Below are 23,386 nucleotides of genomic sequence, written 5' to 3' on the forward strand. Positions count from 1 at the left end.
ATGGATAGACAAAATATGATATACACATACAATGGAATATTATTCAGCCTCAAAAAAGGAAATTCTGACATGCTACAACATGGATGAAATGGAAGACATGCTGAGTGAAATCACCCAGCTACAAAAGAACAAATTTTTTTTTTTTTTTTTTTGAGACAGAGTCTCGCACTGTCACCCAGGCTGGAGTGCAGTGGCGCAATCTCGGCTCACTGCAATCTCTGCCTCCCGGGTTCAAGTGATTCTCCTGCGTCAGCCTCCTGAGTAGCTGGGATTACAGGTGCCTGCCACCACGCCCTGCTAATTTTTTGTATTTTTAGTAGAGACGGCGTTTCATCATGTTGGCCAGGCTGGTCTCGAACTCCTGACCTCATGTGATCCACCCGCCTCAGCCTCCCAGAGTGCAGGGATTACAGGTGTGAGCCACCGCACCTAGCCTACAAGAACAAATATTACATGATTTTACTCACATATGAGTAGACAAATACTAGAGTAGACAAATTTACAGAGAGAAAGTAGAAGGGTGGCTGCCAGGAACTTGGGAAAAGAGGGAAATGGGGAGTTACTGTTTAATAATACAGAGTTTCAGTTTTGCAAGATGGAAAATGTTCTGTGGACGGATGGGAGGTACTGAGGGTTGTACAACCGTGTGAAATACAGTTAATGCCAGCGAACTGTACACTTAAAAATGGTTAAAATGGCAACTTTCACATAATGTGTATATATATCTATAGATCTATAGATATCTAGATATCTGTAGATCTATAGATCTATAGATAGATTTTTTTTGTTTGAGACGGAGTCTCGCTCTGTCACCCAGGCTGGAATGCAGTGGACCGATCTCGGCTCACTGCAAGCTCTGCCTCCCAGGTTCACGCCATTCTTCTGCCTCAGCCTCCCGAGTAGCTGGGACTACGGGCGACCGCCACCACGCCCGGCTAATTTTTTGTATTTTTAGTAGAGAAAGGGTTTCACCGTGTTAGCCAGGATGGTCTCGATCTCCTGACCTCGTGATCCGCCTGCCTCGGCCTCCCAAAGTGCTGGGATTACAGGCATGAGCCACCACGCCCGCCCATGTAATGTGTATTTTATAGTTTAAAAAAAAAACTTATAAAATAGTGTGGTACTCAGACACAGATCATTGGAACAAAAATCCAGAAACAGACCCACACATATATGGTCACAAGGCGAAGGTAATTCAATGTATAAGAGTCTTTTCAGGCCGGGCGCGGTGGCTCACGCCTGTAATCCCAGCACTTTGGGAGGCCGAGGCGGGCGGATCACGAGGTCAGGAGATCGAGACCATCCCGGCTAAAACGGTGAAACCCCGTCTCTACTAAAAATACAAAAAATTAGCCGGGCGTAGTGGCGGGCGCCTGTAGTCCCAGCTACTTGGGAGGCTGAGGCAGGAGAATGGCGTGAACCCGGGAGGCGGAGCTTGCAGTGAGCCGAGATCCCGCCACTGCACTCCAGCCTGGGCGACAGAGCGAGACTCCGTCTCAAAAAAAAAAAAAAGAGTCTTTTCAACAAACGGTAATGGAACGACTGTATATCCCAATAGGAAAATGTTGACACTTACTTGACAACATAAGCAAAAATTAATGATATTAGATCATATCATAGACTTACACGTTAAAGACTATGTAAAACATATATGAGAACACAGAATATCTTCAAGAACTTGAGGTAGGCAGAGATTTCCTAGCACAGGAAAAGCACAAACCATTAAAATATAAAACTGACCAATTGACTTAATCAGAATTAAAAACTTCTTTGCCAAAAACGTCAAAACAATGAAACGACAGGCCCAGATTGGGAAAAAGACTTCGCAATCATTTATGTAACAAAAGATTTTCATTCAGAGCATACATATATCTAACAAAACATTTGTATCCAGAACTGTTAAACACGAAGGACCAGATTTAAAAACGGGCAGAAGACTGGAACTGAAACTTCACAAAAGATGCAGAATGGTCAGTAAGCACAGGACAAAAACGGTGCCAGTGACGCTGGTGCCAAAGCGGGAAGGAACGCATTCTTCAGCCTAAAAGACCTAACAGTAGGACACGGACATAACCACTCCCGGCCAAAAAGAACACAGAGCAACACAACGTCTTGGCTAACGAAAACTCAAAGCCTCAATTCACTCAGTTCCTTCACAGCGCTCGGAAACAGAGAAGTCTCGCGGTATCGGAAAATGCGCGGCGCTCACAGCCACACCTGACGAGATGGAGGGCGCAGGCGCATCCACGGCTTTCAGATTGGGCGACTGACTTCAAAGGGGGGGGCAAACAGGGAACGCGCAGGTATAGGAGCGCTGGCTGGAGGCTCCTCGAGAGCTCCCCAGACACGCCCCCGTGCGTACGCCCCCGTGCGTACGCCCCCGCTGCCGCCACCTTCGGTTGACCACCCCCATCTAGACTGTACTCTCGCGGTATTTGTCCCGACTCTCGCGGGGTTTAGCGTGGCATTGGGAGGCCCGGCCTGGGGGAGGAGACGGCGTTCCGTTAGCGGCGTTGGGGTTTGGCTGCAGTGGCAGTGCTTTCTCTTCTGCTCACGGGGACCCGCTCAGGCTGGAGGCCAGCCAGGTGAAGAGCTCGCCCGCATGCGTGCGCGCTGCGTGGGAGCCGCGAGGCCCGGGGCGGGAGGGGGCCTCGTCTTGGCCTCCTGCGCTGTCGCGACGGGCCGGCGTGAGGCACCGTGGCGCGGACTTCGTCTCAGCCCCGCCCTCGCCCCTGCCCTCGCCCCCGCCCTCGCCCCTGCCCTGACCGCTTTTCTCCCCCTCTCTCCCAGCTCTTGCCGCCACCTCGGTCGCGATGGGGGCGCAGGACCGGCCGCAGTGCCACTTCGACATCGAGATCAACCGGGAGCCGGGTGAGCTGGAAACTGGGGAGCGCTGCTGGGGCCGAGGCCTGCCTTGGCGAAGGGGAGGGGTCTACCCTCAGCAACCCTCCCCCGGCCTTTTTGGGAGCGGGTAGGAGGCGCAGGCAACTTTCCGTTTTCTCTTGAGAGAAAATCAGTGGGAGAGGAAGGTGGCCTGGGCACACCCCTAACTCGCAGTCCGGGCCTCTTCCTGCCAAACCCCACACACCCCGCTGCATCTCCGGACTGAGTCCTCGTAGCCAGCCTGGCGCCAAGAAAAGGAGGTGCAGTTCTTTGAGGACTTTTTCTCTCCCAGTGTCTCCGTGAGGCAGACACTCCCGATCCGATTTCCGGTTATCTTGCTTGGTGCTATGAAGTTTCAACTAGTAGGAAATATTGTGTGTTTCCTAATCACGATATATCACTAATATGTTAATTTTGCCTCTATTTTTCCTTAAGAATCTTTAGCTAGAATTTCGTGGTTCCTGGGAAAATGGCTTAGTGAAGATCTTTTGTGATAAACCAGAGCATTTTGTACCAGCAGAATTGCAGCATGCATGCACTTAGCATTAATGTTTGTCTTTAGGGAATCCAGACATTTGTTAGTGTATTTTTTTTAAATGAAACATTTCCTTCTAAAGCATAGTTATTTCATTCTAAGTAGCAGAGCGTGCAGGGTTTCAAACTGTTTTCTTAGCTTTTTTTGTTATCCGTGACAAAAGTTTTAATTGGAGACATATATATATGTGTTGTCTTTGTGCAACATCTTGTTCTGCATATTCTTATGAGAGCCTGCTACTGTTCTAGGGTCTGGAGATAGAGCAGCGCATAAAACAAAGGCCTCTTCCTTTTATAGTTTATATTCTATTGGGGGGAAGACGGACAACTAGGAAAAAAATAACAGTGACTTGTAGTTGGGATACTATTTTAATAAGTTGGTCAGACAAGGCCATTTTGAGAAGATGAGATTTAAGCAGGTATCAGAAGGAGATGAAGTGAGCCGTATTTAAGAAGAGCATTCGTGGTAGAGGGAAACAGCACAGCCCTGAGGTGAGGAGTAGTATACAGTCAGGCGCCAAATGACATTTCTATCTTTAACAATGGTCTTATATATAATACCTTTTTTTGGTAACTTTTTAATGTTTAGCTGTGTTTAGATATACAAATACTTCATTGTGTTAAAGTTGCCTACGGTATTCAGTGGAGTAACATCCTGTACAGGTTTGTAGCCTAGGAGCAAATAGACTATATAGCTTAGGTGTGTAGTAGGCCGTACCATCTAGGTGTGTTTAAATACATTCCATGATGTTCACACAATGACGAAATTGCCTAATTACACATTTCTCAGAATCCGTCCTGGTTATTAAACAATGGAGGACTGTACTTGCATGTTTGAGGGACAGCAGGGTGCCCAGTGTGGCTGGAGTAGAAGAGGAAAGAGAATAGTAAGAAATGGCCTGTAGGACTGACTCAGTGAGGTAGGAAGATATTAAAGGGTTTCGAGCAAAGGGATGAGATAATCCTGGAAATTTGGTTGCCTTCTCTCTCTTTTTAATGTTTTTAGCCTTGATTGATCTTTTTTTTTTTTTTTTTTAAATAAGTGTTACTAGAAAGCCTTGATGGACCTTAATCTTTATTTTGTAGTGAATCCATGCTTTAGATAACAGGGTTATTTTCTATTAAGAATTAAAAATAGCTCACGCCTGTAATCCCAGCACTTTGGGAGGCAGACGCGGGTGTATCATTTTGAGGTCAGGAGTTCGAGACCAGCCTGGCCTACATGGCGAAACCCCATCTCTACAAAAAATAAAAAAATTAGCTGGGCATGGTGGCTCTCTTAGTTTTTGCCTGTAGTCCCAGCTATTTGGGAGGCTGAGACTGAAGGACTGCTTGAGCCTGGGAAGCAGAGGTTGCAGTGAGTAGAGATTATACCACTGCATGTCAGCCTGGGTGACGGAGTGAGACCCTGTCTCAAAAAAAAAAAAAAAGAAAAGAAAAGAAAAATAGTAGATTGCTGAAGAGTAGAAGTATGACCAAGCATGGTGGCTCATACCAGTAATCCCAGTACTTAGGGAGGCCCAGGCAGGAGGATTGCTTGAACCCAGGAGTTTGAGACCAGCCTGGGCAATATAGCAAGACCCTGTCTACAAAAAACAATTTTTTTTTAATTAGCCAGGCATGGTGGTGCTCACCTGTACTTGGAAGGGTGAGGTGGGAGGATGGCTTGAGCTCAGGAGTTTAAGGCTGCCATGAGCTATGATTGCACCACTGCACTCCAGCTTGGTCAACAGAGCAAGATCTTGTTTCTAAAAAAAAAAAAAAAAAAAAAAAAACAGCTTAAGAAAAAGTACAAATAAAAATTTCTGTAGTTAAGTACTCCTTTCCTAGTAAATGTTCAGATCCTAGATTTGCACATAACCTGTGTTGTGAAAAATCTCCAGAATATGTTTGACAAATGTTCAATGAACCTCATTCCTCAACATCCAAGGCAATTCATTGTGATAGATGTGTAGATGTGATTAGCACTCTTGAGAACGCCGAATCATATAAAACAAGGAAATGCAATGCTTACATTGTTCTAGGTTTAATCATTTGATAGTTGGAAATTTCATATGGTTCAGTCTTGTGAAATAACTAGCACTTTTTGAGTATATTAACTAAATAGTGGATTTTACACAACTTTTTTTTTTTTTTTTTTTTTGAGGCGAAGTCTCACTTTTTCACCCAGGCTGGAGTGCAGTGGTGCCATCTCGGCTCAGTGCAACCTCCGCCTCCCAGGTTCAAGCGATTCTCCTGCCTCAGCCTCCCTAGTAGCTGGGATTACAGGCATGTGCCACCACCCCTGGCTAATTTTTTTGTATTTTTATTAGAGACAGGGTTTCATCATGTTGGCCAGGCTGGTCTGAACTCCTGACCTCAAGTGATCCGCCCACCTCGGCCTCCGAAAGTGCTAGAATTACAGGTGTGAGCCACGGTGCCTAGCCTGTGGTTTTTATTAAAGAAATTGGTGCATTTTATCTAAGTTGTCAAGTTTATGTGCTTAGAGTTGTTTGTCACAGCCTCTTTTAATATCTGTGGGGTCTGTAGTGGTGTCTCTTTTCATTCCTGATATTGATAATTCTTCCTTTTGTCTTTTTCCTTTGTCAGTCTGACGAGAGGTTTATTCATTATACATTTTCAGAGAACCAGATTTTGATCTGATTGAATTTTGTTTCTATTTTTGTTTTCAATTTCATTGTTCTCTTTCTTTCTAATGCTTGCTTCAATTTTTATTTTGTTCTTTTTCTAGTTTCTTAATGTTGAAGCATAGATTGTTGATTTGATACCTTTTTTTTTTGAGACAGTCTCAAATGACTTTTAATTTAATTCCATTATGGCTAGAGAACACACATGATTTCCGTTCTTTGTGCACTTGAATGTACATTCTGCACTTGAATGTACATTTTTGTGTAGTGTGTTCTATAAATGTCAAATCCAGTTGGCTATTAGTGTTGGTCAATTCTTTTATATCTTTGCTGATTTTCTACTTGTTTATTGATTACCAGGAGAAGAGTATTGAAGTCTGCAACTATAACAACTGTAATTGTGGATTTATCTATTTCTCTCCTTTTTTTTTTTTTTTTTTTTTTTTTTTTTTTTTTTTTTTGAGACTGAGTCTTGCTCTGTCGCCCAGGCTGGAATGCTGGAGTGCAGTGGCATGATCTTGGCTCACCACACCCTCTGCCTTCCTGGTTCAAGTGATTCTCGTGCCTCTGCCTCCCCAGTAGCTGGGACTACAGGTGTGAGCTACCATGCCTGGCTAATTTTTTGTATTTTTAGTAGAGACAGGGTTTCTTCATGATGCCCAGGCTGGTCTTGAACTCCTGGGCCCAAGCAATCCACCTGCCTCGGCCTCTCGAAGTGCTGGGATTACAGGCATGAGCCATCATGCCCGGCCGTATTTCTCTTTTAAGTTCTCTTAGTTTTTGCATCATTCATTTTGAGGCTCTTAGGTGGGTACATACATATTTAGGATTGTTGTCTTCTTAGTGAACTCTTTTATTATTATGTAATGACACCTTATATTCCTAGTAACTTTCCTGGCTCTGAAGTTTCCTTTGCCTCAGATATGAATATAGTTACTTCCGTTTTATTAGTGTTTACATGGTATATCATTTTCAATCCTTTTACTTTTAACCTTTCTGTATAATATTTAAAGTGGATTTCTTCTGGATAGCAAATAGATGGGTCTTGTCCCACTCTGACAATGTCTTTTAGTCAGTATGTTTAACTGTATACATTTAATATAATTAGTTATGTTTAGATTTGCTTTACTGCTTAAGATTCATAAAAACAGACTGGAAAATGTGTTTTTAGCAAACATTGTAAAGTATTTAGAAGTGATACCAAGAAATTAGTCTTAAGAGGCGACAAAGGATTCAGGCAAATGTTTGAGTACTACTTGTGTCCTTGGTCAAGCCGTTTAACAACCTCTTTGTGAAATGGAACTACTATACAGTTTTGTTCTTAATTTGGTTCCAAAGCTAACAGGACAGGAAAATTTGCTTATATTCAAAATTAAACTAAACTTTAGACTCACATTCAAAATAGCTCATACTTCGAGTGAGGTATATGGGATCTGGTTTGTTCTGAGGGAATAGGAGAAATGCATCTCCGCTCTCAAGGTCACCCTGGGTCATAAGCTCATGAGTAGAGTGACTAGATGCAATGGCCTGAAATTTAAATGACTTGCACTGTATATGCTCATTAACCTGTTATATTATTAACCTAATAATAGGACTCCAGTGTAATAGTGCTTACATAACAAGATTGTTGAGAAGAGTAATTAAATAATGCCATCTTATAGATTGTATTAGAGTAACATGAACTTACTCTAATAGGGTGGATTAAGGAGCACAATTTTAATTAGGCACACTACTGTTTGGTATAACAATCGGATAAGCAGGTGGGGAAGAGTGGCGTGGGAGAGAACAGTTGGATAGCTCTGCTGCTCTGAGTCATTCTTGTTTGTCCTAACTGATTTGAAGGCCACTGTGCTAATGACAGTGCTGGGAATGGAGGCAGAAATGAGGTTTGGTCAGTTGTAGGGTTTCCTCAATGATGTTTAGATTTTATAACGTCCTCTTATAGCTAAAATTTATTATTGATACTCCTAAAGAAAAAAATATTTTTACTGCAACTGGAAACTCCCTTGTCCCCCCCAGTTCCCATTTTTATATGGAAATAGTTATTTTTATATGTGATTTTCGATAATGCAGTGTTTCTTAAAATTCTATCACTGTTCTTGTAGAGCAGTCTGTATTTGTTAAGTATATATAGCACAGTATCTGATTTTTTTTTTAAGTTGCTTTAAGTATTGCATGTGCAGGAGTATGGACACTAAGTCAAGTTAAGGGGCTTTCATATTTAGGTATTGTGCAGGTAGACCTTTGATTTTGGTCCCTTTTGTTCCCAGAGATTGTATCTTAAAGTCCGAGAGACAGTGCTGTAAAGTGAAATCCTGAATTCTTGCTTTCACTCCCTATGTATGTATACTTGTACAAAGAATTGAAGCCTGATTCTTAATTCAGCAATGTTTATTTTATTAAACACCAATTAATCTTTATGTAATCACTTTTTAACATTTTTTAATATTTTGTCTTTACTTTTATTTTAAATTTTTATTTTTTTCTTGGCCAGGCACAGTGGCTCATGCTTGTAATCCCAGCACTTTGGGAGGCCAAGGCAGGAGGATTGCTTGAGCATAGGAGTTAGAAACCTACCAGCCTGGGCAACATAGTGAGACACTATCCCTAAAAAAAAAAATTTCGTTTGGCTTTTTTTTTAGAGACAGAGTATCACTGCGTTGCTCATGCTGGAGTACTGTGGCTATTCACAGGCATGATCATAGTGTGGTGTAGCCTCAAATTCCTGGTCTCAAATGATCCTCCCACCTCAGCCTTCTGATACGTAATCACTTTTGGTGACTGTAGTTTACCCTCATATGAAGATACCTTGTATTAGTTAGGCTAAATGATAAGATTGGTTCTAACATAAAGGTTAAATAACAGTACTTACAACAATATAAAAGTTTTGCTTTTCTGTCACACAGCACTCAGAATCAGCAGATCAGGGCTGTCCATGTGAGGGATCCAGGCTCTTTTTGTGTCGATACTGTGTTACTTTTGACATGGGGTGGGTGCGTGCGGCTCTTAACAGAAAGATTCAAGTTTAATAGATACAGAAGAATTGATGGAATCAGAAGAATCATCATTTTGCAACCCCCATGGTAATAACTGGTTCAGAAAGTAGTCATCAGTGGCCAAACCATAGGTGAAAAGTTGTGCTGTGTGCAAAGTATCCAACAGATTATTTATTTAAAATGGAGGAAAATTCCTTTACAACTAAGATGTGGCTAATATCTCAGTTATAAAGGTACTTTAATGGGTCCGACTGACATGCTTTCTAATGGGGTGCAAAAAAAAAAAGATGGAGACTGTTTTAGATTAAAAGAGGCCAACAAATGAAAACCAAATGGGTATATAATGCTTGAATGAGATTCCTGGATTTTAAAAAATAGATGTATATTTGTCAGTAAACTAGAAGGAACTCAAATGCTAATCAGTTGAGGATTGGTTGAGTAAAATTTGATATAGCCAAACAACAGAATTCCATTCAGCCATTAAAAAGAATGAAAAGGGGGAAAAAACATGTAAAGGGCATTGTAGGGGTAGTTGGGTAAATTTGAATATGGATTATTATGAGGAGTTTTTTCCCACAGTAACAGATTCTTCAAAGCCAACTAAGTGTCCAACAATTCAATTTGATTCTGGACACTATCTACCTGGAGTTAGTGTCATATTCCACAAGTTAAGAGAAATCAGTTCCACAAGACTGCTCCCACTGCGGGCATGCCAATCGCAAGTCCTGAGTCGCTCTTTTTTTTTTTTTTTTTTTTTTTTTTTTTTTTTTTTTTTTTTTGAGTTTCCTTCTTGTCACCCAGGCTGGAGTGCAATGGCGCGATCTCAGCTCACTGCAACCTCCGCCTCCCGGGTTCAAGAGATTCTCGTGCCTCAGCCTCCCAAGTAGCTGCGATTACAGGTGCCCACCGCCACACCTGGCTACTTCTTGTATTTTTTATTAGATACAGGGTTTCACTATGTTGGTCAGGCTGGTCCTAAACTCCTGACCTCAGGTAATCCACCCACCTCGGCCTCCGTGAGCCACTGCGCCTGGCTTCTGAGTCACTCTTACTTCTGACCAACCAGCTGTAAATTAGGGATTCCTACAACCCCCTGCTCAGCTTCAGTAATTTGCTAGAGCAGCTCACAGAACTTAGGAAGCCAGTTTGCTTACTATTACTGGTTTATTATAAAGGATATATCTCAGGAACAACCAAACAGAAGAGATGCCTAGGGCAAGGTATTGTAGGTGCAGAGGGTGGGGAGATGCATGGGCCTTCTGGACATGTCGCCCTCCCTCATTGTGTTCACCAGTCTGGAAGCTCTCTCTAAACCCTGCCATTTAGGGGGTTTTGTGGCTAAAAATATATGTATGTATGATCAATTATTTCATCACGTATGATTGCATATGTGTGATCAATTATTAACTGAATCTCCAGCCCCTCTTCTCTCTCTGAAGGTTGGAAAGTGAGGCTGAAAGTTACAGACCTCTAACCAAGGCATGGTTTTTCTGGCAACCAGCCCTATCCTGAAGCTATCTGGGGGTCTGCCAAGAGTCTCTTCTTTGGATGCGAATGCTAAGGGATTTAAGTGTTCTCTGTCAAGAATCTGAGAGAAATATCAAATAGTAGGCTGGGTGTGGTGGCTCATGGCGGTAATCCCAGCACTTTGGGAGGCCGAGGCAGGCAGATCACTTGAGGTCAGGAGTTCCAGACAAGCCTGGCCAACGTGGTGAAACCCTGACCACTAAAAAGAAGTACAAAAATTAGCCGGGCATGGTGGCGAGCACCTGTAATCACAGCTACTCAGGAGGCTAAGGCAGGAGAATTGCTTGAACCTGGGAGGTGGAGGGTGCAGTGAGCAGAGATCATACCACTGCACTCCTGCCTGGGCAATAGAGCAAGACTCATATATCAAAAAAAAAAAAAGAAGAAAGATCAAATAGAACAAAAGATGCTCCTATCAGTCCTATCACTTAGAAAATTACAAGTTTTAGGAGCACTGTGCTAGAAACTGGGGACAGAGGTCAAATGTAGGAACTGGGGACAGAGGTCAAATGTAATGTTTCATGTTATGCCACAGCTATGGAGTAGATGATAATCACTATTAAATTTCTTTGGTGTAGTAATGGTTTTGGATTTAAGTAGCAGAATATCTTTATTCTTTAGGAATATAAGCTGAAGTATTAATAATTAGGGGTGAAGTGTCACAGTGTCTTTAACTTTCAGTTTGTTCCAGAAGATTGTGTGTTTAGAGAGGGATAAATATGGCAAAACATCTTTGTAGATTTGAAAATTTCAAAACAAAAGTTCAAGAAGGGGAATTGCACATTTATTCTTTCAGACAACCTTCAGGATCATTTTGTCAAGTTCCCTCAGAAATCTCACTGGTATTTTTGAAGGTTGCAATTAAGTTATTATAGGTTACTCTAGGGAATATTGGGCACATTTGCAATTTTGAGTCTTGTCTAAGAACAAGGTATCTCTCCCTTTATTCATGTTGGCATTATGCCTCTCAAAGTTGGAGTTTTGTTTTTATAGATCCTATACTCTTATGGTTATGTAGGTAGAATGTTTCTTGTTGTTTTTGAGAATGTGATTTTTACTGTATTTTGTTCTACTAGTTCTTGTTTGTCATAATATAAATATCAACAACTTCAGTATCTGTTGGTATTTCAGTTGGTTCTTTTGGGCTTTCTAGGTGTATAGCTAATGTTTCAAATGGTGATAAATATGCTCTTTTTTACTTGTAAATCTCTCCTATTGTCCTCTTATCTACTTACATTGACTAGAATTTCCTTTTTTTTTGAGACAGAGTTTCGCTCTTGTTGCCCAGGCTGGAGTGCAAAATGGTGCAATCTCGGCTCACTGCAACCTCTGCCTCCTGCGTTCAAGCGATTCTCCTGCCTCAGCCTCCCGAGTAGCTGGGATTACAGGAGTGAGCCACCACACCCGCTAATTTTGTATTTTTAGTAGAGACGGGGTTTCTCCATGTTGGTCAGGCTGGTCTCGAACTCCCGACCTCAGGTGATCCGCGCCCCCCACCGCCTCCCAAAGTGCTGGGATTATAGGCGTGAGCTACCACGCCTAGCCTACATTGACTAGAATTTCTGAAAGAGCATTAAACAGTAGTGATGCTAACAACTACTTTTGACTTGTTTCCTGCTTCACTGGAATTAATGCTACAGGAGTGTTTCACCATTAACGATAATGCTGATTGTTGATTTGAAAAATATCTGAGAATATGTGTGTCATATAAAGGAATGAATGTTGAATTTCTTTTTTTTAATTTATATTTTTCTTTTTTAAAATTTATTTTGTTGTTTCTGTAGTAGATATGAATGTTGAATTTCACCGTGCACTTTTGGTTTCTATCGTGGGATTTTTTTTTTCTATCATGGGATTTTTATAGGATTTTTCCTTCACTTCAATAAACTATATTAGTAGATTTCCTAATGTTGAATAGTGTCTCTTTTAAAATGAGATTGGCATATGGGGTTTTAAATTTGTTTTATATCATCTCTCCCAGGCTTTGGTTTCGATTTTATTTTGTTTCAAAAAAATTAAGCTTTTCATCTTTTGCTGTGCTCTAGAACAGTTGATATAGTGTTACACTTTAATGTTACTTGAAGATTAGAAGTAATTCATCTATATCTAAAGAATTAATAGCAGCACTCTTTTGGATAGTTAGCAGCATTTTAGTTTCTTTATTGGGCCTGTTTTTTATCTGTATACTATCTTATAATTCTTTTTTCTAAATTTTGGTATTCTTCCTTTTATCTTCCTAAGTGATTAATTTATCTTTAGTTTTATTCATTAATGAAAATATTTATGACTATATGCAGTGATCAGGATAAATAAGTGGTATTTAACACTTTTTGCATTGTCAGACCTGGCAGCTCTAACATCTGACCTCATTTCCTGACATCCTGGCCCTTTGATTCTCTGATCTGCACTAATATCCTCATCATAACTACATGAGCCAGTAAATATGTTCTCTTTTGAGTTTTTGCTTGTACTATCTGCAGGAAACCTTTAGCTGGGTGTTTATGGACATGTCATGGAAAAAGCTTCATGTGGCTAAATAATTAAGTTGTTTCGGCCTTATATTTTATGTTTTTCTGGCTATTTCCTTTGTTTTATATCTTTTACTAGGTTGCTGCCCCTCCCACCAAAGAAGCTTGAAAGATGTAAAATATTGTTAGTTCTACTTGTGAATACCTGTTTAAGTATGCTTAAACCCTTGGCTGGGCATGGTGGCCTGTAATCCCAGCACTCTGGGAGGTCGAGGCGGGCAAATCACAAGGTTAGGAGTTCAAGACAAGCCTGGCCAACATGGTGAAACCCCATCTCTACTAAAAATACAAAAAATTAGCTGGGCATAGTGGTAGGTGTCTATAATCCTAGCTACTCGGGAGGCTGAGGCAGGAGAATTGCTTGAACCCAGGAGGCGGAGATTGCAGTGAGCCAAGATCGTGCCACTGCACTCCAGCCTGGGTGACAGAGTGAGACTCTGTCTCAAAAAAAAAAAAAAAAATGTATGCCTAAACCCTTATTTCCTCTCTGCTTCAGAAAAGTCTACCTATTGATTCCCACTATGAAGTATGAGGATGCGTATTTTCTTTCACCAGTCCAAATCCTTGTTGGTTTTTATTGATTCTCCACTGCCTTCCTCCAACTGAAATTATTTTTACCCTGGGCAACATAGTGAGACCTTGTCTCAACAAAAAATACAAAAATTAGCCAAGCATGGTGGCATGCTCCTATGTTCCCATCTATTCAGGAGGCTGAGGCAGGAGGATTGCTTGAGCCCAAGAGGTTGAGGATGCAGTGAGCAGAGGTTGTGCCGTTGCACTACAACCTGGGGAACAGAGCGAGACTCTGTCTCTTAAAAAATAAAATACATTATTTTTATATCACAGGCATGAGAAAAGTTCATGATATGTTAGTAGAGCAAGGTGCAGTACAGTGTGCATAATCTACCATTTTTTAAAGGAAGAAAAATAAGAATTTATCAATATTTGCTTGTGTATGAAAAGAAACTGGAAAAATACACAGAAAATTAATGAAAGTGAGTACCTGTTGATAGGGTTGGGAAACAAGGCTTCTCATCCTGTACCTTTTTCCACTGATTTTTGAGTCATGAGAACATTTCCTATTCAAAAGAAAGAACATTTTCAGATGGTACATAAAAAAAATTTTGCCATTACATAACTTTGTTTCCTAATACTGATAACATTTAAAACCATAATTAACACTGTTTGCATTGTCATACCTGGCAGCTCTAACATCCGGCCTCATTTCCTTTTATTTTAAAACCATAATTATAGTGATTTAGGTTTAATTTTGTAATGTAATATATTCAGTGCCCAATGCCACTCTTCCTACTAGTTCTCATTCATTAATTTTTTGACTTATATCTCAGGGATATGTATTCAAATAGATATTTCAGGATAAAATGTATTTCCTTTGCTAGGTATAGAATTCTTGTTTCACAGCCTATTCCTTAAAAATGGTAGACTGTGCTCAGTTGTCTCCAGTTTGTAATATAAGGTGTCTGAAGCTGGTCTTCTTTCTTTTTTCTTTGTGAACGATATGATTCTACTGCCTGGATACTAGGAGGCTTTTTTTTCCATTTATGTCTCCAAAACTAAATAGCTTTATTAATTGATATCTTGGTGTTGCTCCACTTACATATTTTTTCCTGGTATGTAGTGAATAATTTTAATCTGTATATTTGGGTGTTCCTTCATTTATGAAAGTATTTTGTAAATCTGTCTTTGAATAATTTTGTTTTGAGTATTATTATTATTAAATATTTATTGAGCACCTAACTGTACCAGGCACTACGTAAGTCTCTGGGGATATAGTGGTAAGTAAAGCAGTCATGGTCCCTATCTCTCTGCGGTCACACACAACAGTCAGACCTAGGTTATATATAAGTGCCCTTAGTTCATACTAATGATAGCTCATATTGTGTAGCAGCTGCATTTCCATGTGTCATTCCTAGCCAAGATGTGAGCTTCTTGAAACTTAGGCACTACGTTCTTCTTGAAACTCAGGCACAACAGTATATAGTACTGTTGGATTCCCTGACATATGGGTAAGATCTCAGTAAATAATATTTGAGTAAATGGCCCGATGTTATGCTGCTCCTGTTTCTTAATCTTCTTCCTAGATTTTGCTCTTGGCCTACCTAGTGTGATCTGTTCTTAACCTTTGCTCTTTTCCTCACCCCTTGCTTGTAATTAATTGTTCTATGGGCTATTCTTTGCCTTCTGTAGTTTATCAACCTCTGCAACATTTTTCTAATTGATGCTCACTTTTCCAACTACCATATCATCTATGTACATAATACATGTCTCCTTTTTAAACCATTGAATCTGCAATTCCAGCGCAACTATTTCTGAAAACAAGGAACAGTATTGAAAGATGATGTTTGATTTTATTCCATCTGTGTACTTGGTGATTTTATTCCTTTCACCTAGTGGCCAAATCAGAATCTACACCATGACATAGACTTTTCCTGTCTGTAGTCAAAGCTTAACATGTGTTGATATTACCTGATTAATCTTAATATTGTTCCCCTGTCTTATTTTTAAGGATCTGCATGTTGGTATTTTCGGATTAAATTTAGAAACTAGTCCTGCTTTGTGTCATTTTTGTCCTTAGCCATGTATAAAAGCAACATACTAATGTTTACACTAACAGTAGATTTTAGTCTTATTATAGAGCTGTGTATCTATTGGCATAACATTAATTCTGTGGACGAAAACTATGTATAAGAATATTATCAATAGTATTGACTGATTCTTGAACTCCTGGTTTCAAGTGATCCTCCAGCCTCTGCCTCCCAAAGCACTGGTATTACAGTGCCCAGCCGGTATCAACTGATTCTAAAAGATTACTAAATTCCACTAAATTATAAATAGTATTTGTTGAGTAACAAATTTTTCTTAGATATTATTTATTTAGTCAGCAGCAGTTTCCAAAGAGGCATCATCAGCAGGTGTTCTTAACTCTTTACAGAGATGGGGTTACTGTCACACTTATTTTTCTCATCAGTTTGGGAGCCAGAGAGACTTACGCAAATTCATTCCAAGTCTGTCCTTTATTGTAACTACAGCTTAATTTTTTTATCTTCAATATGTTTTGTAATCATAGTTTATGCTTGCCATCACCGAAAATATTTACTAACTAAACTAGTGAACCACATTGACTTTTTTTTTTTTTTAAAGACCATACCTTTAGAATATTGTCTATTTTGAGTTTCAGAATAGAAGTATCATCACATGGTAGCCTGTTTTCTATAAAATCATACAATTCAATAAAAAATATTTGTTGAAAACCTGTTAATCTTGCTAATGAGCTTCAGTTCAAGTTAGTATTTGCTGATCTGTATCCTGTAGTGTTCAATCTCAGGATTTAATTTGAAGGGAATTAATACTAGGTTACCTCTTTATAGGTATAAATCATAATGCTGTTTTGTTTTTTTGACCTTGGTTTTTGTTTTTAAACCCTTCAAATTGCATATATACTAGCATTTTAACTTAAGAAAGTCTCAACTAATGTCTGAATATCCATAGTTCAGCCTTTGCCATGCTTTGCAAACCTAATTAGGTTAATGTGTTTTTTTCAGGATTTTAAAATTATTTTTCTTATGTGCCAGGTTTAATCTTGCACCTTGTTATTGAGGCAAAAACAATTCAGTTTTGTTGTATTTTTCCTCTTGCTCTTAACAACATAATGCCATAGAGGAGATAAAACCTCTACTCTATCCTTTGTGCCATGAGGTTCGGAGGGCAAAAGACTTTTTTTTTTGCTCCAGGCTAGAAGAGGGTAAGATATTAGAGGTGAGATTTGTTTTTTCTTTTTTTTTTTTTTAAGATGGAATCTTACTGTGTCGCGCAGGCTGGAGTGCAGTGATGCAACCTCAGCTCACTGCAACCTCCACCTCCCAGGTTCAAGCGATTCTTTTGCCTCAGCCTCCCGAGTAGCTAGGATTACAGGCGCCTGCCACCACACCTGGCTAATTTTTGTATTTTTAGTAGAGATGGGGTTTCATCATGTTGGCCAGGCTGATCTTGAACTCCTGACCTCAGGTGATCTGCCTGCCTTGGCCTCCCAAAGTGCTGGGATTACAGGCGTGAGCCACCATGCCTGGCCGAGATTTTTTTTTTTTTTTTTAAACCACTCTAGTTAGCTATCCCTCTCCGAATATTGGATAGGAATGTAATCACATTTTAACTGTTTTCAAGTGTGTGTTGTACTACTGGAGGGTACACAATTTCCAATTATCTGTTAAGGAGAAACTAAAAACATTTGAAACTTTGAACAGCTTTCATTTTGAGGCATTACAAGATTTTGAAAAAAACAAAACAAAAAACACCCTAATGTTGAAGTTACTGTGGCCCTAAGAAAAGCCCTATGTTTTGATTATTTCGATTATGTCTTCTATCCTGAAAAGTAGCCATCTTACAGGGATTGCAAAGATCTAAGTCTGTTCTGGTATGCAAAGCGGGATGATTTTGAACTTGACACCAGCTAAGCCATTTCCCAGAGATTTATGAGGACTGATCAAAATACATTTATTATACTGGTAAAATGTTTCTATATAAATACAGTGATAGTTACTATTACTGATATTATAGGGTTTTTTTTTAATTCTGAAATGACTTTAGATACACTGCTCCCTGCTTGAAAATCTTGAGTCCTCCTTTTTGCTTGCTTTCCGTCTTTTTCTTCATTCCCTTAGGTTTTAAGAACAGCTACAAAGTTTTGAAATTGCTTTATAGTTTGGCTCTTTTAAAGCTATAGGCTAAGAATGTTGACACAGGAAGGTCTTCCATCCTGCTTTACCCATTAACGATGTCTATAATGCAGTATCATTGTTTCCTCCTCACAGGAACTGACCGATATGGCCAGGAATACAATACAGTCTTAGTGATACAGAGTCATTTTGTGTCTGTTCTGAACATGATTTATGCTTGGTCCACAGTTAATTTTTATTTATTCTGTAAGTCCTTTTGAATAAATAAAAAGGTTTACAATGGAAAAGATCTTGTAGAATAAAGGGGAAAGGAACTGAAGAGTAATTAATTGCAAATCAGAATTACGTTTCTTATTTTATTGATACGCTTTCAACAGGTCCATAAAGTCACAATTATTTTTATAGTAATAGATTATGATTTGCCTTTTGTGCTCTCATTCTCTTGTGAATATACAGTCAGGTTTTCCAGAGATCATATATTAATATGTGATGATATCACTGCCCTGACACCTAATGGAATGTGTGCTTGTGTATTCTTGTGTTTTAAACATTTCTGAGTTTTAACATTTAATATGGTATATAGCAATAGATATGAACTACATAAACAAAAGCTCAGTAATGAGTTTAAAAGAGCCCTGAGACCAGAGTTTGAGAACCATTTTTCTCTGGCATAGTTAAATTGAAGTTGCTGACTTTTCCTTGTAATCTCGTGTTTGTTGTAGGGAAGCATAACCTCTTCTCTTTCTGCTCTCTCAGGGGATAGGATGGGGAGTATTATTTTAAGAGTCTTGCTCTGTCACCTAGGCTAGAGTGCAGTGGCACAATCAAAGCTCACTGCATGATCATAGCTCATTGCAGCCTTGAAATCCTGGGCTCAAGTGAACCTCCTACGTCAGCCTCCCCAATAACTACAGGCATGTGCCACCATCCCCCGCTAATTTTTAAAATTTTTTGTAGAGACAGGGGTCGTTCTGTGTTGCCCAGGCTGGTCTCAAACTCCTGACCTCAGGCAACCCTCCCTGCCTCAGCCTCCCAAAGTGCTGGGATTATAGGTGTGAGCCACCATGCCCAGCTTAAAATGTGAATTTTAAGTGTGATTGGTGCAATTCAGGAAGGTGGCTCTTAACAGTTCTTGCTTAAAGGAAGAAAGCTGAAAATAAAGAGACAGAGATGTTTCTTAACAATACTGGCCAGAATTACTGTCTTTTGATGTACTCTCATCACTGGAAGGGCCCAAGCATAAATCAAACAACTATTGAGAGTATTTTTAAAGAAGATTTATAGTTCAGATAGGGAACTATACTACGAGGAATCTAATAATACAAAGTTCCTTTAAAACACACTTAAAATCCTATAATTTTGGGGCTGGAACCAATTTGGCTGCATGTAAATTTTAACAATAACAAATAAAATGGTGTTCTTGTTCATAGGTATCACCCAGTTAAATGCTTTCCCATTACATCTTTTAAAAAATTAAAATGAATTACAAAAATAGACTTTCTAATTTGTTAGCCCTGTTTCTTTCTCCCATTTAAATGTGATATATTTAACTTGCTTACTATTTTTTTCCTATGTATTTTATTTCAGTTGGTCGCATTATGTTTCAGCTCTTCTCAGACATATGTCCAAAAACATGCAAAAACTTCCTTTGCTTGTGCTCAGGTAAGTGAATTATTATTTCCAATGAGAAGCTGTGGCTTACAGTTTTACCTTGCTGAACAGAATAGATATTTTCCTGGAAGAATAATGGACTCGTGAAATTAGTTTTGTGAATTAAAAAAAAAAAAGAGTTACTTATACTGACTTTTATATGAAATCAGGGAAGCATTTCTTAAGGGGAAGAGATTAGAAAGGAATGATCTCAAAAATGAAAAAGAGAGTAAGAATCTACGTTATATAATGGAATCTTCTCTATACATTTTAATTTATAAAATAATAGCACACATTCAAAACTGATTTGGTAGAATTTTATGAATTTCACTACTTTGAAAAAATTTAGTATTCCAAATTTTACAATAAATTTTAAATAAATAGAAAAAATGGGGAGGGAAACATCTATAATGTTACTTTAAAATTAGAACAAACTGGCCGGGTGCGGTGGCTCAAGCCTGTAATCCCAGCACTTTGGGAGGCCGAGGCAGGTGGATCACCTGAGGTCAGGAGTTCAAGACTAGCCTCGCCAACATGGTGAAACCCCGTCTCTACTAAAAATACAAAAATTAGCCGGGCGTAGTGGCAGGCGCCTGTAATCCCAGCTACTCAGGAGGCTGAGGCAAGAGAATCACTTGAACCCGGGAGGCGGAGCTTGCAATGAGCCAAGATTGCGCCATTGCACTCCAGCCTGGGGGACAAGAGCCAGACTTTGTCTCAAAAAAAAAAAAAAAAAAATTAGAACACACTGAAATTTTAAATTCTTACTTGGATACACATATGCAATTTTTGCACTAACTCCTTGATTTTGTTATTTATTTATTTGGGACGGAGTCTGACTCTTGTCTCAAAAACAGGCTGGAGTGCGGTAGTGTGATCTCAGCTCACTGCAACCTCCACCTCCCAGATTCAAGTGATTCTCCTGCCTCAGCCTCCTGAGTAGCTGGGACTACAGGCCTGTGCCACCACACCTGGCTAATTTTTGTATTTTTTTTTTTAGAGGCAGAATTTCACCCTGTTGGCCAAGCTGATTTCAAACTCCTGACCTCAAGTGATCTGCCTCGGCCTCCCAAAATGTTGGGATTACAGGCGTGTGCCATTGCGCCTGACCTCATTCTTTGACTAGAGTGATAAGTGTGTCTAGTATTATGTCCTATAGCATGTAGAGTCTGTACCACACAATTTTACATTTACATGCTGCTTTGGATTATTTATTTTGGTTTGCGTGCATGTGTGTATGTTAAATTATCATGTCATCTATTTCTTATATCTCTTCCAGTGCCTAGCACACAGGAAAGATTTGACACAGGATTAATTGGTTTGTTCTTTCCATGGAAGGATGTATAAATAATTAAACTTCATTTCTTTTTTTTTTTTTTTTTTCCAGGAGAGAAAGGCCTTGGGAAAACAACTGGGAAGAAGTTATGTTATAAAGGTTCTACGTTCCATCGTGTGGTTAAAAACTTTATGATTCAGGGTGGGGACTTCAGTGAAGGTAGAGCTAAAAGTTGTGTTCCTAATAACTCCATCTATCAGTTTTTAAAGTATTTCATTATTACTTTTAGTTCTAAATATTGTGTCAGTTACAGTATGATATAAAATGTGGTCAGTGAATACTTGTTGGATGAGTGAATATTATAGGTCCAGAATGTATGAAAAAGCAAAGTACCACGTAAGACATTTTATTTTGTTTTTATGCAGTTTATTTTATTAATATTATAGTTACTTAGTGAATTCCTTTACAATGAATGCCAAAGTACTGTCTGATTGCTTTTGTTCTGGAATGTTTTTGGTGTTATTACTGTTTGAAATAAGTAGGTTGTGAAGATGACTTTTTTGATGGTATTTCTTGTAATGGGACTTGACATATATTTTACAGATGAAGTTAATTGAGGACTCTGAGAATTTTGATTATTGCAGCAGTTATAACATTCCAAGGTTTCCTTCAGCGAATTGAAGCTATCAAAAATGATTTCTGTGTTAGTATATTTTTAATGTTCATTATGGCTTAAAGTAGGTGATTATTTGCAGGTAATGGAAAAGGTGGAGAATCAATTTATGGTGGATATTTTAAAGGTAAGGCTTAATATTTTACGGTCTTTTGTTTCAGTTCTGATATTAAAGCAAGTTTGATCATATACTTTTAATGAGAAGAGGTTTACTTATAGTTCACTTTTTGCATGAAACTAATGCTGCATGAAAATACTTTATTTGCATGAATTTGGGGATAAATTATATTGTAATATATAATTTTTAATTGACAAGATTAATTAAGGCTAACTTTATGGTTAAACATGACTTTCAGCATGGAGGTTAGGCAACTATATACATGAAAACTCCTATCTTCCTGCCTAAAACTGTCAACATATTCTTTTGTTTATAGAGAATGTGGTCTTTTGCAAAATGAAAAGGTAAGAGAACGAAGCTCAGTAACACAAACTCCAATTCTGTTCCCTTGCACCCTTCCTAATAAATTTATGGACAGTCTGGGTCAGGTTGTGGCTGGATTTCTATATTGCTTGAAGACTTGGAAAATTCTGTGTATTATTTCATACATGCTTCTGTATCTTTTTTCATTTCCCAATGGGTTATTAATTTCACATCAGAGAAAAGAGTCTAGTTGTGGGGTTTTTTTTCCCCTAAACCAAGCAATTTCTTTGAATAAAAGTTGAAATTTCGTTTTTCAAAGGTTTGTATGTTTTCTTTTGTATATTAGAACTATGACTGTGTTTATTCTCATAATAGTAGCATCTGCATAAATCTAACTATTGCACTTGCCCCAAAAAGCCTTAGAAAAGTCAGTTGCAGAGATTTGTAATGAAATCTAATATTACTAGGTTTTAACGCTATAATAGCTTCAGTGTTATAATAGTCTTTTATATTTCCTTTGGGGGAAAATGGATTACTACTCTTTTTCAGAAGCCTGTTCCCAAGGTAATCACTTTTTAAAGTTTTCTGTGTTTCTGTTTGTTCTGAAGAAGATTTGTTTGTATGAATGTTAAAAGGACATATAAGTTAGTTTTCAAGGATATTCCTGCTGGAATTAAAATAACTCTAAGTGATCTTTATCACAGATTTTTTTTTCCTTTGAACTAGTAGGAAACAGCTATTTAGCTGGTTCTGTTATGTAGCAATTTAAAACTAATGCTGTAGGCCACTTTGTGGTTGTTCCTTGTGGCAGATACTTTTGTACCTTAAAATTGTATTTTGCTATTTAAATTTTTGTTTCACAGGGCTTTCTTCCTTAGATAATTTTGTGATACAATTGAGTATACACATACTTAATTTAGATATGTTCCTGTAACTTAATATAACATAATTTTTTTGTCTTACAGTCTAGCTTCAATTAAGTTGAATAATAAATTTACCGTATAAAAATTAAACACCTAAAAAGATTATTGAACTTCTTCCATGTATAGCACATTAGGCAAGCTAATTGGAAATTTGGAGGAAGTAAGCTAGAGATTTTTCTAAAATTTTATTAGTTTTCCCTGAAAGTTAATAATTTAAATATCATTTAGCCAAAGTATGTTACTACTAAAAGTGACTGTTCTAAGGCTGTTTGTGTGAAGTATTAAATATATGTTCTTTTCCTCAAGGCTTTAATTAGTATCTTTTGGCCTTTTTATGCTTTTGTTATTTGATTAGCTTAAATTTTTCTTTTCTGAGTGTTCAGTCAAGTTATCTGTACTGACCAGAAGAGGAATTTCATCTTTTGCTTTCTATTTATTACTTGAACATTACTTTAAAGTGACTTATAATTGGAGACTGACAAATTTGTGTTTTCTTCAAACAGATGAAAACTTTATTCTCAAACATGACAGAGCGTTCCTTTTATCAATGGCAAATCGAGGGAAACATACCAATGGTTCCCAGTTTTTCATGTGAGTAGGCATAATTCAGAGATGAGCTTTTCTTAAACAGAGAAGCGCTGTTCATAAGAAAGA

At 38.7% G+C, this 23,386-nt stretch overlaps 2 protein-coding genes and 1 long non-coding RNA gene across 14 annotated transcripts in view, besides 1 other annotated feature; 1 reads left to right on the forward strand and 2 right to left on the reverse strand.

The window, feature by feature from the left end:
* The window catches only part of SEC22C (SEC22 homolog C, vesicle trafficking protein), a 53,110-nt gene extending 50,225 nt beyond the window's left edge, over positions 1–2,885 (reverse strand). Inside the window, exon 1 of the mRNA NM_001201572.2 lies at positions 2,767–2,885. The gene's annotated coding sequence lies outside the window, so the exon portion shown is untranslated. The remainder of the gene's footprint in view (positions 1–2,766) is intronic.
* The window catches only part of NKTR (natural killer cell triggering receptor), a 48,124-nt gene continuing 27,156 nt past the window's right edge, over positions 2,419–23,386 (forward strand). For 6 of the 12 annotated variants that reach the window (NM_001349124.2, NM_005385.4, XM_006713171.3 and 3 more), the window contains exons 1-6: positions 2,493–2,585; positions 2,791–2,871; positions 19,377–19,451; positions 20,827–20,934; positions 21,471–21,515; positions 23,236–23,323. In NM_001349124.2, coding sequence (NP_001336053.1) covers positions 2,814–2,871; positions 19,377–19,451; positions 20,827–20,934; positions 21,471–21,515; positions 23,236–23,323 — 374 coding nt within the window. In that variant the 5' untranslated portion in view covers positions 2,493–2,585; positions 2,791–2,813. Of the gene's footprint in view, positions 2,432–2,492; positions 2,586–2,790; positions 2,872–19,376; positions 19,452–20,826; positions 23,324–23,386 lie in introns of those variants that run through there. The other 6 variants (NM_001349125.2, NM_001349126.2, XM_024453539.2 and 3 more) reach the window with 5 other exon arrangements.
* Positions 2,587–2,796: a silencer, noted in NCBI's record as "silent region_14246". NCBI's record gives its function as "represses an Ori minimal core promoter by ATAC-STARR-seq in GM12878 lymphoblastoid cells {active_cell/tissue: GM12878}" and the evidence as "EXISTENCE:reporter gene assay evidence [ECO:0000049][PMID:35858748]".
* ZBTB47-AS1 (ZBTB47 and NKTR antisense RNA 1) overlaps positions 14,117–23,386 on the reverse strand; it is a 42,079-nt gene continuing 32,809 nt past the window's right edge. The window contains exon 3 of the long non-coding RNA NR_125400.1: positions 14,117–14,174. This is a non-coding gene — a long non-coding RNA (ZBTB47 and NKTR antisense RNA 1). The remainder of the gene's footprint in view (positions 14,175–23,386) is intronic.

The sequence above is a fragment of the Homo sapiens genome, chromosome 3 (assembly GCF_000001405.40).
Source record: "Homo sapiens chromosome 3, GRCh38.p14 Primary Assembly".
Lineage (NCBI taxonomy): Eukaryota > Metazoa > Chordata > Mammalia > Primates > Hominidae > Homo > Homo sapiens.